This window comes from Homo sapiens, chromosome 2 (assembly GCF_000001405.40).
Source record: "Homo sapiens chromosome 2, GRCh38.p14 Primary Assembly".
NCBI lineage: Eukaryota > Metazoa > Chordata > Mammalia > Primates > Hominidae > Homo > Homo sapiens.
In genome coordinates, this window is record NC_000002.12 from 227,470,537 (window position 1) to 227,489,618 (window position 19,082).

The following is a 19,082-nucleotide window of genomic DNA, read 5'->3' on the forward strand; positions in this document are numbered from 1 at the left end:
GGTATCATGGCTAAGTTTGAAAGAGATAAAGTTTTTATTTTTTAGGGATACAAATGGAACTATGTACCATTTAGATGAATGGTACGAAACCTAGAATTTGCTTTAAAATAATAGGAGAGGGGATGGAGGGTTGAGGTATTTATAAAGCAAGATTAGCCATGGGCTTAATCATTGCTGAAAGTGGTCCATGGGCTCATGGTAGTTTGATATTTTCCATAATAGAAAAGTTTAAAAACATTCATTGGCCAATCTATCTGTCCATTTCTTTTAATATTAAAAACATTAATTATTATTAGTAGTATTATATTAATATGAAGTCTCACTTTGTTGATTCACCCAATCCCTTTCATGAGAGATGTGGAGGTTGGTCTTGGCTGTTAGGAAACGTAGATTCTAATCCATTCAACAGCCCAGTGATTTGAGAACTTCAGCTCTCTGGGTCTCCCTGTACTCCTTTGGAAAACGAGAGACGAAGTTGATTGTTGCAGTGGGGATTTGGGTCCTGCAGTCTGGCTGTCTGGGTTGGAATTGAGCTTCGCCATAGGTACCCTTGGGTAAATTTACTTAATCCCTCAGGGTTTCATCTTCCTGTTTTGTAAAATGTAAATAACAATAACGCTCACCTCGAAGGGTTGTTGTGAAGATTACATGAACGATTTCATGTATTCATTCCGTCAACATTGAACACCTAGTCTCCAGCTCTGCGAGGGGAATGGGGTGGAGTGGCACAGAAAATACGGGGGCCAGGCTGTTTAGCGCCTAAAGGGAGAGTCCAGATCACCCATGGTAAACACGAAATAAGATGCAGTATTTCAAATAGCTAGAACTGAGACGAAAATACAACGCAGCAATTTGATGGAGAGCAACTTCGAGAAAGGTGAGCTGCAACATTAACTCGGCTGATCTGGGACAGTCTGGCGGGGGAGGTGACATCTGAGCCCCACCTGACTTAGAGGATGTCAGCTATGGATGATCCGGGTTTCCACACGCAGCAGTTCTCAAGCCAGGTGACTGCACCGCCCTAAAGTTCCCTCCACTTTTGGCAATGTCTGGGGATTTTTGGTTGCCAGCAATGGGAATTGGGGGGTTTGTTCTTGTATCTAGTGGGTATAGGCTAGGAACGCCGCCCAGTATCCTACAGTGCACAGGACACCCCAAGCCCCCCCAAATTAGCTGGCCCAAAGATAAAGAGAGAAGAGCAAGGGCAAAGGTCCTGCAGGAGTCAGAAAGGAGCTTGCTGTGTTCAGAAAACTCAAAATCCAGTGTGGCTGAGTGAGGACGACGAAGAATGAGGTAGACTGGGCTAGACTATGGAGCACTTTTTACGGCACGGTGAGGAATTTGGAATTATACTCAAAGCAGTGGAAAGCCCTTGAAGAGTTTTAAACAGAAGGGGAAGGTAACCCATGTGAAACGCTTTGCATATATAAGCGCTCAATAAATACTGTCTATTATTAATATTATTATCACCATTGTGTCTACCCTACTTGGCTCCAGACCCGGCCCATGCCTCAGCGAGGCCGCAGTGACTCCTCCTGGCCAGCAGAGGGCGCCAGCGGACACTTGGCTACCGGCCGCCCAGGGCGGGCCTCCTCTTGCCGTCCCCTTCCTCGTCTTTTCCCCTCAGGAGAAGTCGGGAAGGTGGCGGCGGCGGCGGCGGTTGTCCCGGCTGTGCCGGTTGGTGTGGCCCGTCAGCCCGCGTACCACAGCGCCCGGGCCGCGTCGAGCCCAGTACAGCCAAGCCGCTGCGGCCGGGTCCGGCGCGGGCGGCGCGCGCAGACGGAGGGCGGCGGCCGCGGCCAGGGCGGCCCGTGGGACCGCGGGCCCCCGGCGCAGCGCTGCCCGGCTCCCGGCCCTGCCGGCCTCCTCCCTTGGCGCCGCGGCCATGGCGGCCAGCGCGAAGCGGAAGCAGGAGGAGAAGCACCTGAAGATGCTGCGGGACATGACCGGCCTCCCGCACAACCGAAAGTGCTTCGACTGCGACCAGCGCGGCCCCACCTACGTTAACATGACGGTCGGCTCCTTCGTGTGTACCTCCTGCTCCGGCAGCCTGTGAGTGCGGGGCGGCCGGGCGGGTGTCGGGCCCTTCCCGGGAGGTGGGGGAGCGGGCGGCGGGACCGGGACCCTTCCGGGGCTGGGAAAGAGCCGGGTGCCGTGGGAGGCGGTCGGGGGCGGCCGTTGGGCGCCGGCTGGCGGGCGCGGCGTGGGAGGCTGCGGGCTGGATGCGCAGGGCCCGGGCAGCCGGGCTGGGGATGCGTTTTCGGTTTTGCCGGGCGAGGGTTTACGTTCTGGGCAGCCTTCGTGGGTGGGACGTGGGCGGGGTTGGGGTCAGGGAGGGGGCGACCGGGGCGAGCGTCCCTGGTCTCCGTCGAGCCTGCGGCCGCCGCCCTCGCTCTCCAGCTACCCGGGGCGCCGGGCTGTGGGGGGTGGGGGAAGACGCTAGGAGGCCGGGGGGGAGGTCCATGCGGGTCCTTTGTGTGCCCCGCCTCTCAGCGGCCCGGGAGCCGCGGTGCGGAGCGAGGCACCTGCTGGGCGCTCCTGCTGGGGGTCGGGGAGAAGCTGGGGTGGGAGGGAGGGACGCCTGCCTCGCCCGTGCCTTTTTTCTGGGTCGAGAGTACCTACGTAACTGGGAGGAAGCAGGCACTTAGGAATAGTAGCAGGATGAAAGCATCTTGATGGCAGATGTGAATCCCCTGGGAAAAGTTCGAAAGGATTAATTGCGGGAGGGGGAGGCAGAGGAGCAGATTTGAAGCTGTGGGATTTTAGTTTTATGGTCCGAAGAGAGTGTTGAGGAGTTGGGGGAAAGTTTTAATGGCAATAAGGTACCCACTAGGAGCTGTGTGATTCTAAATATGATGGAGTTATCTGTGAGATTTATCTGTATCTCGCTATCAATACCCGAGTGCCCTGGCTGTACACAGAAATGAGGAGAGCTAGCAAGTCACCATGATTTCAGAAAGACACTACCGTCCTGAGTTACTGGGATGATTTGTGTTTGTTGTTCTTTGCTTCATTAAGCTTTATTTTGATAAAGATTTTTATTGCCGTGCAATTTCATTCGGAAAATTTGCAGGTGGTTTTGGAATTGATAAAATGCTTTTATATTATTATCTTGTATTTAAAGTTACTAACAACGTGGCAGTTACTAAGTATTTTTAAAACCTTTGCTTGTAAGATTAATACAAAGCACATAATACTTTATGTGGGAAAATTGATTTCTTAAAACTTAGAAAATGCAGAACATGTCTAGTATGTACTATTTGCTTTTTAAAGTTGGGCAAAGAGGCATTATTAGTATTACATGAGTGTTATTTCTTCAGCAGACATTTTTTTTGGTGCCTATTAGGTTGTGTAAGGCCCTGGGGTGTGCCAGTAAATATAGCAAAGTCTTGTTCTCTTGGTTCTTACAGTCCAGTGGGGATGCAAAAGTAAGAAAAATGTCTTGGGCAAGTACTATGCTGAACATGAAAATTGTTTGATAGGAGAGTGCTCATGGTTACTTTTAGGCTGTGTGGCCAGGGAGACACTCTGAGAAGTTGCCAGTTAATAATATTCTCGAATTACTACAGAATCACAGAGCTAGGTGATATCAAGGAGGTAGCCTGGTTCATGCATTTCATTTACAGAAAAAGGAGTTAAGCTAGAAAGTTGTTACTTACGTTGGACAATATTGGTTCCAAAATGAAGCCAATAGAACAATTGTAATTGTATTTGATTTTTATTACATGGTTAAGATGTATGTCCTGCTTTTACTAAACACAGGTCCTTTAATCCATGTAAAGTATTTGATTTGGAAAAAATACATATATTTACACTTCCGGATTTCTGACATTTCTGTGTAGTCCCTGTAAGTACAGCAGCAAATGTGTAATATCAAGGACATATTTTCAAATTTCTTCCTAGATACCACATTTCAGAAACATTGTGCATAAAAGGATATCTCAGTATAATGACAATTATTTATCTTAATGGAACTTAATCTGTGGCAGATAGGACTTCATTTCTCTATTGAGTCATTCCACAAATATTTATTGCCTACTTGTCCTGTGTCATAAGTTACCTGGATCTTAACTGTTCTATGGAGCGTGCCTTGTAAGTATGTAAACGTAGAGTTACAATATATTGTAGTATTTCCTTTCTGTGAATGAGATAGCCAGGAAATATGTAAATGATACAGCTTCTCTGGGAGTTGATGCCTGAGCAAAGACCTTTAACGAGAAATTCTGCTTCATATGTTTGAAAGATCAAGTACTTATGAGCTAGGTACACATGGCTTTGAATCCTGACTCCAAGTATTAGTTATACGGTATTGAGAATGTCACTCAATCTATTTGAGCTTGATTTTTCTCTTATATGAAACAGTGAGGATAAGATTTCCCTTGTAAGTTTTGGATGTAGATTTGTTTTCAGTATTAAAAATAATGTATGTTAAACATCTCACGTAATGCCTGGTATATAGCAAGTGCCCTATAGATGAGAAGCATCAAGGAAGAGGACATGCCATGAGTAAGGGAACAGTACTGTATGTGAAAGATATTAAATAAGAAATATCCTAATAAAAATCTGTCACTTTGGATTTTATGGTTGTAACTCAAAACCGGAATCTAATTGGTTTAAAAATATGAAGGGTTTATTGATTGATTTTAAAGTAAAACTATACAGTGGCTTAATAATATTGCCTAGATTTTCCTCATTCGAGCATGGTTGTCCCCAGCTCCTGGGTATACTGCCTTAATTATGTCGTTGGTCCAATACTTTCAGAAGTTCTGCATTTCCCTCTGATTGGGTTAGCTTAGATCATGCCACAACTGGACACATGTTCTAACCTGACTTCATTGTCACAAGGATCCCCAAATAGAGTTCCCAAATCTGAAATCTAGAATTCTTGGGATGTAGGGAATGAAGACTAGAGTGGCAACCATCAAATGTCTACTGCAGAACGTTGGAGGGACAATAGCTTCTGAAGATTTTTTTCTTTGACAAGCAATAGTGCAGGAAAATAATTTAGGAAGAATAATATAACTCTTGGGTTTAATAATTATGTATCTGATGTTTAGATGACATGGTATAATTGAAAGAATATGAATTTTGAAGTCAGATTTTGACAATGCTACTAGCTTCGTGGCTTAGGGCAAGGTGTTATGCTAGGCCACTACATGCAGATTGGCCCAGATCCATCCTTGTAGCCTCAGTTTCTTTATTTATGTTAAGAAGATATCATATAGCTCAGGGTTGTTAAGAGGATTCAATGATACACATCGTTACTGTATTTACTTATTGAGCACATACCGTATTTGAGGATAGGGCTAAGCACTGGAGTTACAAATATTGAAATAAGGCATGCTAGCTGCCGTTCCTTGATTTACCTGGAAAATATGAATACATAGCAAATAGTATCCACTATCATGAATTCTAAATTTTAGGATAGTGACATACCTTCTATCATTTATACTAATACCTTTTTTTAAAATAAATTGAACTAGCATCTTGTTGTTAATGTTACTAGACTTGGAGCTAATCTTTCTTGTTTCTTTTTTTTCAGATGACTGTCCTATATGCTTGAATGATGTTCATTCAGAGTGTAACTGAATTTAGATTGTAAAACTTTAAAATGAACTTCAGAGTTAGATGCAGTTAAACTATTTGTTACTGAGGCAGAATGATGAAGGCATCCTAACTGATTGGTTTGTCACTATCTTTCACTGTCTTTCTGGTTGTATTTATGGAAATCCCTAAAATTCTGAATGGACACTTCAGACATTTAAAATATAGCCAACAGTAAAAATGGCCTTCATGTTAAATAACTTCTAGTTGATTTAAAGACTAGTTTTAGACTAAATTATTTGTTTTATGGAGACTATAAACATTAGTATAATTGATATGTAATATAAAAGATTGTCCTAGCCTTAAAAAGTGATCCATAAATTTTTCAGTGAGGGTTTAGATAAAATAAAAAATAACATTTGAGAAAGAGGTTGCCACTTTAATACCATCTATTTTATGTGGACAGTGCATTTAAGCTTGAAATTTCACAGGTAATAAATGTAGCTGGATAGTAACTTATATTCTGTTGATTCTGTGTACATTGACTCTTGAGATGAATGTTACAAGAATTTTAATTTTTTTTAGATGACAGATGAAAAGAGGTATTTAATGTTTTTATACAATTAGTAGCATTAGGATGGATTGCAAATCAGATGCTCTTTTGGAGCTCTGTGTATAATATTCAGGACCTTGTGAGGTCACAGTGAGCAGGGATTTATATTCTTAATTCCTTTTTTACTTTTTTTGGATACTCTGATATGGCCACATTCAGTTAAGTATTTAGAGTAAGTGGCCAAAATATTTTATACTTTCTCTCTCTCTCTTTTTTTTTTTTTTTTGAGACATAGTCTCACTCCGTCACCCAGGCTGGAGTGCAGTGGTACGATCACGGCTCACTGCAACCTCTGTCTCCCGGGTTCAAGCCATTCTCCTGCCTCAGCCTCCCAAGTAGCTGGGATTACAGGCGCCCGCCACCATGCCCGGCTAGTTTTTGTATTTATAGTAGAGACTGGGTTTCGCCATGTTGGCCAGGCTCGTCTTAAACTCCTGACCTCAGGTGATCCACCGCCTTGGCCTCTCAAAGTGCTGGAATTACAGGCATGAGCCACCTCGCCTGGCCTAGATACTTTTTCAATTGTGAAGGACAAATTTTTTATTTTAAGCAAATATTTATTAAGTGCCAGATACTAGCCCATGTGCTGGAGATACAACAGTTAAAGTATTTATTGAAAAAAAAGAAAAAACTATTGAGTGCTAGCTGTGTGACAGACATTCTAGTAACAGTGATGTGAGGAAGGTACTATTATCCAAGCTCAACTTTAAGTTGTAAAATTAGTGCACACTCTTAGTGTTTTGCTGTTATAACCTGCTAGAAGTTGGGATCTGGAACTGATGCTGATTCCACCACCAAAGAATGTATGGTTACCATGGTTACCGTAAATTGTTGTGAATTCTATATTTTGGGGATTTAAATGGTAGATTTTACTTCATTGTGTTTCAAATGGCAGAAAAAAGACTTTTTCTTTTTTTTGTTTTTATTTTTTGAGACGGAGTTTCACTCGTCACCCAGGCTGGAGTGCAGTGGTGCGATCTCACCTCACTGCAACCTCCACCTCCCAGGTTCAAGCGACTCTCCTGCCTCAGCCTCCCAAGCAGCTGGGATTACAGGCATGCACCACCATGCCTGGCTAAATTTTTTTTGTATTTTTAGTAGAGATGGGGTTTCACCATGTTGGCCAGGCTGGTCTTGAACTTCTGACCTCAGGTGATCCACCTACCTCGGCCTCCCAAAGTGCTTGGATTACAAGCATGAGCCACCATGCCCAGCCCAGAATAGATATTTTATGATGCATCATAAATGTTTGTTTTATGGCTGTGTCATGCTTTTTATTATTTTTAGGGAACTTCTTAGCTCCAAAATGTGTGTTCTTATTTTTGAGTTTCATTGAGAAAATACTGTTGTGTATTCTGAAATCAATGGGAATGATGGTGCCGTTCCAACAGCGATTCTTTTCAATTTGGCATGTGCATACTACCATGTGCCGTAATTCTCGTGCTATTTTTTATATTTGAATTCTAATTAGAACCCCTCATTGTATGCAGTCAAGTTTGATAGTGGATAAGTTTATCAAAAAATTCAGTTAAAGCAAGCAATCAGTAAAAAAAAAAAAATACATACATGCACACATACATATACATGTATCTATTATATATACATATATAATATATATATTTAGCAAGCATAGGTTTTTTTGTTTGTTTGGGTTTTGTTGTTGGTTTGAGACAGGGTCTCACTCTGTCGCCCAGGCTGGAGTGCAGTGGCATTATCATGGTTCACTGCAGCCTTGACCTCCCCAGGCTTAGGTGATCCTCCGACCTCAGCTTCCCAGGTACCTGGGACTACAGGCGCGTGCCACCATGCCCAGCTAATTTTTGTAGAGATGGGGTTTCGCCATGTTGCCCAGGCTGATCTCCAACTCCTGGCTCAAGCAATCCTCCTACCTTGGTCTTCCAAATTGTGGGGATTACAGGCGTGAATTACCATGCCCTGCCTCAAGCTTAGGTTTTTAAATTTTAACATACAACTGTTAATTTGCTGGCACATAAGGCTTTGAATATGGGTCCACTGATTAGATTCTTTGTCCCCTAATATAACCCAGACTCATGCTGTACTATTTATGATTTTTAGCATTTTAATGTACTTATAAAACAGTTTGAATGCTGAATTCTTCTAGATTTTTATGATTTTTCTCTCAGTCTTTTACAGTTCTTTTCCATGGTCAAATAACAGCTTATCCTAGTGACTTGTTTTAGTCTCTAAAAATACTTAGTTTACATGGAAATAATTCTTCTCACTCATGCCATTGTTTTACATGACATTCACTTAAACTATATACTTACCAAGTACTGTACCAACTATATTACCAAATACTATACCAGACAAATTTTGATAAGCATAAAACTCACTCTCTCCTGAGAGAGGAGCAGGAGAAAGTGGCCTTCTAGCCATGAATGTTCATTGTGCAGTAGGCATTAACTTTAGGTTTCTCAGAGGGAAGGAGAAACATAGATTTAACCAGCAAATTGGATAAGAAGGACTCTTCTGTATAGTGCTGTGGGTACCTTTTATACTGGGAAAACTCCAGCATTCAGGTTGTGGTGACATCATTTGACCATAACTGAGTATAAAGGCATTATTGCCATGTTAAGCCTTTTTCTGTTCCCTATTCATTCATCCATCATTTTTGGCATGTGATTTTTAAACACTGGCTTTTAGTTTCAAAGTGGATAAAATACAGTTTAGATTAAATTTACATTAAATTTTATAATATTAGTGCATTATAAATGAAAAGAATTAAGACATTGTTTTAAAAGAACTTGCCGACCTCTGGATCTCAATTTGAAAATCATTGTCTTTTTAGAAACCTCTGTATCTGTTCCAATAGCATTCTTTGGAAAACAGGCAAATCTCCTTATTTGATATTTTCCTTCTTTTCTGTGCAGCGTGCATGATGTTCACATTTGTGAGAAACTCCTATGGAAATATTCGGGACTAGGTTTTACTACTCCCCCTCATTTTTTCCCCCACTTGAATGTGTTTTCTAATTCAAATCAAAGTGATGATTGTCTAGGGAAATACAACTTGGATACCTTTAATGTATGTAAAAACGTTTTAAAATCAGTTATAACTTTGAGTACTTACATTAATAGCATGTTCCTTGTGACATTTTTTACAACCTTACACACGAGAACTATTGCTAAAGACACCTGATTGAACATTAGAATGAAATTCATGAGCTATTCAGTGGGGACAGGAAACTTATTTGAGTTGTTTGAAATACAGAGAATTAATTTTTGTTTGTGTTAGAACATACTTTGCTCAAAGACTTCTGACTAAGATAGCAATCTTTTTGATTGACACCATACATGTTTTGTAGAGGTCATAATTATACCTTACTTTTATTCTGGTTGCTTGTTTTAAGAGGAATGTTAACAAACTGGAGCATGCTCCAAGGAATCTGATCAAGATGGTAAGGAAGTTTGAAACTATGTATTAGAGGAACATTTGCAGGAACCAAAAATGCTACTAGCTTAAAGAAGAAAAGATTAGACAGTGGGGGAGCTGTACACATGATCACTGTCATTGGGTAATTTAAGGCATTGGGAGAGGTAATACATTTATTTTTACGACTCTAGGGGGAGATGCAACACCAGTGTTTGTAAGTTATGGAGAAACAGTGTATGTTCAGAAAAGGAAAGAGGAATTTTCCTTGTAATTGTCAGATTCCAAAAATTCTTGTCTTTCCATATTTCTTATTTTATTTTATTTTATTTTTGAGATGGAGTCTCACTCCATCTCCCAGGCTGGAGTGCAGTGGCGCCAACTCAGCTCACTACAACTTTCATCTGTCAGGTTCAGGTGATTCTCCTGCCTCAGCCTCCCTGGTAGCTGGGATTACAGGCATGAGCTGCAATGAACTTCCTTCAATATGATCAGATGCATCAGCTACTTTTTTTTTTTTTTTAACTGTTTCTGGGTACTTTTATAATCTTCTGCTCTGGAAATGCTGCTGTCTAGGCCTGCTGTGCGGCTCTCATACCAGAACTTTTCTTCTATCTTCATTCTGGAAATTCCCTTCACTTGTAACCTATGTTAGATGCTCTGTTTCCAGGACCCCCAACATTTCCGTTAGCCTCCTGATGAAAGGTGAATGAGAGGTCATTTTTGAAAGCCACAAAGCTGAAAATGTTTTATTCTGCCTTCTTTTTAAAAATTAGTTTGCCTACATTCACAAAGGTGAAAATACTTTACCCTTGGAACTTTCAATATATTGCTTAGTTGTCTTCAAACCTTCAGTGTTGCTGTTGAGAAGTCTGATGCTATTCTTATTACTGAGTCTTTCTGACCCACTTCTTTTCTTCCCTCTTTTGGAGTATGTAAGATCTTCTTTTCTTCCTGCTGTTCAGAACCTCATATTGAAGTATTTTGGTGTAGGTCTTTTGTTCAGTGTTTTAGGCTTTTTTTTTTTTTTTTTTTTTTTTGAATTTGTTTGGAAACTCACGCTTTTTATAGTGCAGACATATTTTCTCCAATCTTCTTTTTTGGGGAATATAAAAGCCTGTGATGCCACTGTTCTGGGAACCAAGTTGAGGGAGGTGACTGTCATTCTGTGTGTTTGATCTTAGATAATCCTCCAGCTTTCCACATGGTCCCTAACAAGAGTCTTCAGCAGTGTCTTGAGTTTGAAGTCTCTGTGGTATAACCTCTTTAAAACTTTCCTTCAGACTTCCCACCTAGGGCTGGTGGGAGTATGCTTTTGGCTGTTAAGGAACTGGAGAGTCTAATGATTTCTGACCCCACTTTAAGCCCTCACCTGTATCCAGTTCCTTCAGTAAATCTTGATATGTCCTGTGGTGGGAATCAGTTTCCAGTTGGCTTCTCCCACCTTTGCAGAAGCTTCTGTTTTGGCTTTCTCCATAAAGTCACTTACTGCTGGTATTTTGTTTTTAAATCTTCCAAATTTTGTTATTCAAGAACTGTCGTGTGCTTTTGGACTCTTCTCTTGTTCTCTGACGCTCTGTTTATTTTAATTTTTGTGGGCACATAGTAGGTGTATGTATTTATGAGGTACACAAGATAGGAGTTTTGATACAGGCATGCAGTATGAGATAAACACATCATGGTAACCCTCTGTCTCTTGTGGGTTAATACCTTCTTATTCCTTTACTGTCATTTCGTTGTGGGTTTGGGCATGTGAAGAGATTTAGATTTTGTCCACTACTTTTTTTTTTTTTTTTTTTTTTGAGACAGAGTCTCGCTGTTGCCCAGGTTGGAGTGCAGGGGCGCGATCTCTGCTCACTGCAAGCTCTGCCTCCCGGGTTCACGCCATTTTCCTGCCTCAGCCTCCCACGTAGCTGGGACTACAGGCGCCCGCCACCTTGCCCCGCTAATTTTTTGTATTTTTAGTAAAGACGGGGTTTCACCATGTCAGCCAGGATGGTCTCGATCTCCTGACCTCGTGATCTGCCCGCTTCGGCCTCCCAAAGTGCTGAGATTACAGGCGTGAGCCACCGCACCCAGCCTTGTCCACTACTTTTAACTAGAATGCCTTAATTAGGTTTAAGTCATAACTTGAATATTATTTTTTAGATGCTTGCTCTAAGTGTTACAAGGACCTTATGGTGTAGTATTTGTGGCTTTCCCAGAAACTCAGAATAACAATAGGGATTTATATCATGCTTATTATTATATATAGAAAGCTAAATATATTCAGTTTTTTAATGTTGGACTCTGGATAGACGAATATTTTGGACTAGCCAACATATACGGTGTCTTGGCATCAATAGTTTGTAGATTTGATAACCTACTAAAGGCACCTTCCTTCCATCTGTTCTAGATTTTAAATGTATAATTTTATGCTATGAAACATATGTAATATTTTTAGTAAATAACTAGGATGGGCTAGATCTAAATGTCAACTTTATTACTTTCTGCCAGTATTATTGGCAACTACATAAACTTCCACAGGTTATTAAAAATATTTTTACCAGCTTCTCCCACAGCAGGAGAAAAACAATTAATAAAACTAACTAAATAAGCTTTCCTACTTACTCATCCAGCACAGATTGTTATTTGAATTGAACAAATGGTTATTTGCAAGATTGTTTGAGGCCTAGTTAAGAGCAGCACACTGATGGACATATGGAATGAGCCACACCATCTGGTTACAGTCATACCTGGGTGGTGGTCATTAAAACTAAATCTCCTGGGGATCTGCAGATGTCTTAATTATACTACAAAAATGTATTGGGCTGCACCAGTAGGCTACTTTGAACTTCTTGAAACCAGTTAACTTGCAAACATGTTTTCAAGATATCAAAACTGCAGTTATTGAGTCTTTTTTTTTTTTTTTTTTGCACAAAACTGAAGACTTAAAATGTGTATTTGAGGATCTGGAATGGGTGGTACTTCAGTATTGGCCCCATGAAAGTAATGTGGTTTACTTACCCAACACTTTCATCCAATAGTTATGACTAATATGACAGAAAAGTGTTTTATAAACCCTGAATTCACCCTGTAGCTAGAAGGGCTTTAGCAAAAAAGGGAAGTGACCTCAGGTTCACATCTTAAAAATACTTGTTTTGATTCACTGCAGGATTTTATTCACTTAAATGATCAAATTTGGTAGGTGAAGATAGTCTGCTAATGATAAATTTAATTACTCTAAAAATTGTGGTTACTATAGATACTAACACGAAATCAGGACTACAGTTTTTTTATTTCTTGACATACGTTATAATTTTTTGGTATGCAGTTCTGTGAATCTTAACATATGTATAGATTCATATAGCCACCACTCAAATTAGAACATGCAAGTTTTCCATCACCCCAAAAAACTTTTAGCCCTTGTTTTTACTGTACTCCTGGCAATTACTGATCTGTTCTCCAACACTGCAGGTTTTGTCTTTCCAAGAATGTTGTGTAAATGGACTCATAACTTTTCTAGATTGCCTTTTTTCACTCAACATATTATCTTTAAGATTAATCCAAGTTAGTTGTTGTTTATCTTAATAGTTTGTTCCTCCTTGTTGCTAAGTAGTATTCCATTGCTTGTTTGTTTTTCCATTTTCTGTTTGAGGAGTTTCTAGTTTTTGATATATATGAATGGAAATGCTGTAAATGTTTATGCTCAAGTTTTTGGGTGAACGTAAGTTTTCATTTCACTTGGGTAAATATCTAGGGCTAGGTTGTATGGCACATGCATGTTTAATTAAAAAATTGGCCAAGTTTTTTTGGTTTTGTTTTGATTTTTCCCTTTTACTTGTGGAATTCCGTTTTCTTTTTTTTATTATACTTTAAGTTTTGGGGTACATGTGCACAACGTGCAGGTTTGTTACATATATATACACATGCCATGTTGGTGTGCTGCACCCATTAACATTAGGTATATCTCCTAATGCTATCCCTCCCCCCTACCCCCACCCTCCATTTTCTTTTATGGTCACAATTGAAATTGTACTATTGATATTAACATTCCAGAGTTAATCAGTATTTTAATCTTCTGTTAATACAAGGTCTTTAAAAATACAAAGTAGTTTCATTTAAGTGGTGTTTCTTTTTTTTTGAGACGGAGTTTTACTCTGTGGCCCAGGCTGGAGTGCAGTGGCGTGATCTCGGCTCACTGCAACCTCTGCCTCCCAGGTTCAAGTGATTCTGCTGCCTCAGACTCCTGAGTAGCTGGGATTGAGGACTGCCACCACACCTGGCTAATTTTTCTATTTTTAGTAGAGATGGAGTTTTAACCATGTTGGCCAGGCTGCTCTCGAACTCCTGATCACAAGTGATCCACCCGCCTGCTGGGATTAAGATTACAGGTGTGAGCCACCGCGCCTGGCTCATTTAAGTGTTATTGTTGGTAAACATATTATTTGTCCCTTTTTTCCTTCTGTTAGTTGGATGTTACTGTAATAAGATGATATTTGTTTAGATTTGCCAGTTTACAGTTTGCTTACCCCTTAGCATCTCAAGACTTTCTTGGGTCATTTTTCTTCTTAAAGTATATACAGTATAAGCTTCTTTAATGAAGATCTCTTAGTTTTTTTTTTGTTTTTTTTTTTTTTTTTTTTTTTTTTTTTTTTTGAGATGGAGTCTCACTCTGTTACCCAGGCTGGAGTGCAGTGGTACGATCTTGGCTCACTGTAACCTCTGCCTCCTGGGTTCAAGTGATCTTCCTGCCTCAGCCTCCCCAGTAGCTGGGATTACAAGTGTGCGCCAACATGCCCGGCTAATTTTTGTATTTTTGTTGTTAGTAGAGATGGGGTTTCACCATGTTAGCCAGGCTGGTCTCGAACTCCTGAGCTCAGGTGATCTGCCCACCTTGGCCTCCTAAAGTGCTGGGATTACACACATAAGCCACCGTACCTAGCCTAGTGGGTTTTTTTGTTTTGTTTTTTATCTGAAGATACTGTTATTTTGATCTTATACTTCAAACATAGCTTTGCTGGATTCACAAGTTATTTTTTCTTACCACTTGAAGATAATATTCCATGGTCTTCTCCCTTCCATTGAGAAGTCTACTACGAGCCAAATTTTGTTCCCTATATTTTCATTCCAGTTGCTTTTAAGATCTTCTCTGTCTTTGAAGTTTCACCGAATCGTTTCTTTTTTTTTTTTTTTTTTTGAGACAGAGTCTCGCTCAGGCTAGAGTGCAATGGCGTGATCTTAGCTCACTGCAACCTCCAACTCCCAGGTTCAAGTGATTCTCCTGCCTAAGCCTCCTGAGTAGCTAGGATTACAGGCACCCGCCACCATGCCCAGCTAATTTTTTTTTTTTTTTTTTTCCAGTAGAGATGGGGTTTCACCAGGTTGGCCAGGAACTCCTGACCTCAGGTGATCCACCTGCCTCAGCCTCCCAAAGTACTGGGATTACAGGTGTGAGCCACCGCACCCAGCCCAAATTGTTTTTAAATTGGATTTTATTTATCCAGATTTTGATGAGCTGTGCTTTTTATATCTGTAGATGCATGACTTTTATTGGATCTGAAAAAAATCTCAGTCATTATCACTTCAGTGTTACCTTCCAGTTCATTAATTCTCTCTAGTTATGTCTAATCTGCTCTCTACCTGATTTGGTGAATTTTTAATTTCCACATTTATAATTTTTCATTTCTGAAAATTCTGATTTTTAAATTTGCCTCATTCTGATAATTACATATTTCCTGCTCATTTTTACTCCATCTTTCATTTAATGTTTCCTATATACTATATTTCGTAACTGGTAATTCAGATAGCTAGTCTTGGAGGGAGGTGGTGTTAATCTTTTGCATTTACTGACTCAAGCTCATTGGTTTGTTTCATTTTTGTGCGATAATTTTTACTGCAGCCTCATATTTTATTGAACTTAATATTTGGAAATCTTGATAGCTTAAATTGAAAATGCATTCCTTTAGAGAGAATTTGCGTGTTCATGGGATCCTAGGATCCTATGTAACCTGAAGGTATTTTATTTCCCATCCAGGGTCTTAGGTTTAACTTAAGAGAGATATCTGAGGTTGAGCTCTCTCATCTCGCCTTGGCTATTGTTGGCACTTGCTTTCTGAACAACATTGCTTCTTGTGTATAACATGGGACACATTTCTGGTTTCAGCTTAATTTTTAATTTTTTGTCTTTCTTTTCTGTGGGGTGGGGGATCCTTAGAGATTTCCCTTTCTGAAAAGTTCAATAGTATGTTAATAGTCGTAGGGTTTTCGGGGGGTAATTTATGGACTATCATATTGTAGTAGAGGAGCCTTTTCAGTTTGCCATACTGTTGGAAGTAGAAATTAATGAGATTAAATATGTAAAGTGCCAGTCTAGATACTGTATACATATTAATTTCCTACTGCCTTATTAACTTACATTTTGCCAACCAGTTCATATAAGAGTGCTTTATATTATATAGTTTATTTTTGGTTATTTGTTGTGGACACTTTCCTTAGTCTGTTTTCTAACTTAAATTTTAATATATATTCTATATGGATTTTAAACATGTATGTTTACTTTGTTGTTTATTGTTTCAGAGAGAGAAATATTTATTCTGTTTTCTGTTGTTCTGAAAAGAAAGTTATGCAAGATTGAACCTTGGTAGAGTTTATATCTTAGTAGAGAGCCAAAGAACTTCCATGAATTTCTTTTGCTTGGTAATTTACATATTTATTATATTTAGAGCAGTGGTTCTCAACTGCAGGGGTTTTACCCTGTGGGGGATATTTGGCAGTGTCTGGAAACATTTTTGATTGTCACTGTTTGATGAAGGGTGCTACTGACATTTAGTGAGTAGAGCCAGGAATGCAGATGCTGCTCAACATCGTACAATGCATAGGACACCCCTCCACAATAAAGAATTATCCAACCCAAAATGTCAATAGTGTCAAAGTTAAGAAGCCTTGATTTAGAGAAATCAAGATAAGGTGTTGATGCTGGTGGGTATCACAGGATTTGCGAGGGAAGGTTTTCCAGGTTTTAGAAAAATGGAAAGAAAGCCTTAGAATGGAAAACCGCCCTCCTTCTGTTAATTTCTTTTTCTAATTCTTCAGCATAGACGTTCACATTCATAAAGCCAAGACTAAAAATCTAAATTTTTGGAATACTACTGCTAGTCACTTGGACTTTCCATTATTTCTTACCCTTTTTTTCTACTGCAGAGTAAGTTATCTTTATTATAGAAAACTTGGAGAGAATAGAAAATTATGAATAGAAAAAAATTCATTCGATCTCGTCACTTATATACAAGACCTGTTAACATTTTGGAGTATTTGGTTTGTCTGTTTTTTTTTTGCTGATTAAAAAAATTAGCTCTGAGAATACTATATAATTTTTATCTTAAAAAGTTAAAGCACAATTGTAAGTGCATAATGTCATACTTTTTAAAATTGTTATTTGTTTAACCATTTCCTCTTTGGTGTGAAGTGTTTCTGATGTTTTCCTATTATGAATAATGTTTGGTGAACATCTTGTACATAGGTGGTCAGCTCTATTTCCAATTCTTTTTTTAGAATTGATTCCCAAAAGTGGCATAGCTGGGTCAAATGGGAGTAATGAGGTTCTTAATAAAAATTGGTGAGTTTATCCCACAATCAGTGTTTGAGACTACTCATGTTTTGGCACACGGGTGGGTAGGGTGGGGTGTGGGTGGTATAGGGGCGAGACTACTCATTTTCATTGCAACTCATCACTCTGAATGCTACTTAAGACATTGATGGAATCAGTCTTCAGCTTTTTCTCAGACTCTTATAAGCATGTAAAATCCATGTACAAAGCTTTTGAAGGCTAAAAAATGAAAAATCCATGTACAGCCTTGCACTGAGATACAGTTAATATCCCTGAATAAATGGAATATAAAAGAGCAATTAGAGAAAGCAACATGAACACATAAAATTTCCTCATGCTTACTCAATTTATGTAATAAGTGTAGCCTTGTAAAATTGTCTGCCATTTTGTAAATTGAATCTCATTTTGAGTGTACTGAGAGAGCTCATTTGAATAAATCCTGTAACGAGTAACAAATCCTGTAATAGATTTCACTTGGAAAAAATGTCCTTTCCACATTTGGTTATGAGTACATTCTGGTTGTACTTGTTTCATAAGTTCAAAATGTTCACTTATTTAGGTAATATGAATACCTTCTTTGTGCATTAATATACCCTGTGATATGATAGGGCCTGGGATATATTTACACACTGTACTGCATTTGTGAGATTACATATGTGTGACGTAACTTAAAAAGAGTTAGGGTCAGCTTTATGAATTGTTGTTTCCTCATTGAACAGTTTGAGAAGTATACGGGTATAGTTGTTTGCTCCAAAATTTCCAAAACATACATCCTTTTAATAGTGTTTGATATGTCCTCATCAGAAAGTTACTCCTTTGCCTTTTCCATTTTTAAAAGGAGATATTACCAGTAGGTGGAAAGGTTAAGGCTTGTCTGGAACAAGGAGGAGATATTACAGAATAAGGAGAGACAAAGTTGCAAAGTGAGAAGGAAGGAGTAGAGGCATTTGAGAGAACAATAAGATGTTAATTCCTTTGCGAATTGTTTTGGGGCAAGGTAGAATGTATTTTATCATAAATGATTAAACCCTCCCTGAAAGGGGTGGATTAGTGTTCTCATAATACTGATGAGTTGGAAACAAAGTGTTGTGCCCTAAGTGAGTAATAATGACTTTTCTAAATTTTCACTTTTGGAAATTTATTTACTTATTTATTTATTTATTTGAGAGTCTAGCTCTGTTGCCCATGCTGGACTGCAGTGGTGCAATCTTGGCTCACTGCACCCTCTGCCTCCCAGGTTCAGGTGATTCTGCTGCCTCAGCCTCCCGAGTAGCTGGGACTACAGGCGTGCGACACCATGCCCAGATAATTTTTGTAGTTTTTAGTAGAGACAGGGTTTCAACATGTTGGCCAGGCTGATCTCGAACTCCTGACCTCAAGTGATCTTTCCACCTTGGCCTCCCAAAGTACTGGGATTACAGGCATGAGCCACTGTGCCCGGCCACTTTTGGAAATTTGAAACTAGTCTTTAGAGCCTTATTTTATGATTGCAAGCTTTAAAGGTACTTGCAAGTTACTACTGAGGTTGTTTCTTCAGAGTTAGTTTTGAGAGTTTTTTTTTTTTTTTTTTTTTTTTTGAGACGGAGTCTCAGTCTGCTGCCCAGGATGGAATGCAGTGGCGCAATCTCAGCTCACTGCAACTTCCGCCTCCTGGGGTCAAGCGATTCTCCTGCCTCAGCCTCCTAAGTAGCTGGCAAGCGCCACCACACCTGCCTAATTTTCGTATTTTTAGTAGAGATGGGGTTTCACCATGTTGGCCAGGCTGGTCTCAAACTTCTGACCTCAAGTGATATGCCCACCTTGGCCTCCCAAAGTACTGAGATTACAGGTGTGAGCCACCACACCTGGCCAAGTTTGAGAGTTTTACCAGAATAAAATTTCGGTTACTTAGTTCTTCTTGTTCAGCCTTTATTTCCCTATTTTATGACAACAGAAGGAAAAAATGAG

General features: G+C 39.7%; 1 protein-coding gene, 1 long non-coding RNA gene and 1 other non-coding gene across 6 annotated transcripts in view, besides 2 other annotated features; 2 read left to right on the forward strand and 1 right to left on the reverse strand.

The window, feature by feature from the left end:
- Window positions 1-251: 251 nt before the first annotated feature.
- Window positions 252-1,563, reverse strand: LOC124907994 (uncharacterized). Its single transcript, XR_007088114.1, has 2 exons — window positions 624-1,563; window positions 252-453 (listed from the first exon to the last, which is right to left on the reverse strand). It is a non-coding gene; the product is annotated as an uncharacterized LOC124907994 (long non-coding RNA).
- Window positions 533-1,496: an enhancer, noted in NCBI's record as "H3K27ac-H3K4me1 hESC enhancer chr2:228335785-228336748 (GRCh37/hg19 assembly coordinates)". NCBI's record gives its function as "activates a minimal SCP1, AML or CMV promoter by ChIP-STARR-seq in naive H9 embryonic stem cells {active_cell/tissue: H9 hESC(naive)}" and the evidence as "EXISTENCE:reporter gene assay evidence [ECO:0000049][PMID:30033119]".
- MIR5703 (microRNA 5703) lies at window positions 1,596-1,651 on the forward strand. The gene has a single exon (NR_049888.1). It is a non-coding gene; the product is annotated as a microRNA 5703 (primary transcript).
- Window positions 1,609-2,328: a silencer, noted in NCBI's record as "silent region_12399". NCBI's record gives its function as "represses an Ori minimal core promoter by ATAC-STARR-seq in GM12878 lymphoblastoid cells {active_cell/tissue: GM12878}" and the evidence as "EXISTENCE:reporter gene assay evidence [ECO:0000049][PMID:35858748]".
- Window positions 1,620-19,082, forward strand: part of AGFG1 (ArfGAP with FG repeats 1) — an 89,062-nt gene continuing 71,599 nt past the window's right edge. For all 4 annotated transcript variants that reach the window (NM_001135187.2, NM_004504.5, NM_001135188.2 and 1 more), the window contains exon 1: window positions 1,620-2,052. In NM_001135187.2, coding sequence (NP_001128659.1) covers window positions 1,886-2,052 — 167 coding nt within the window. In that variant the 5' untranslated portion in view covers window positions 1,620-1,885. The remainder of the gene's footprint in view (window positions 2,053-19,082) is intronic.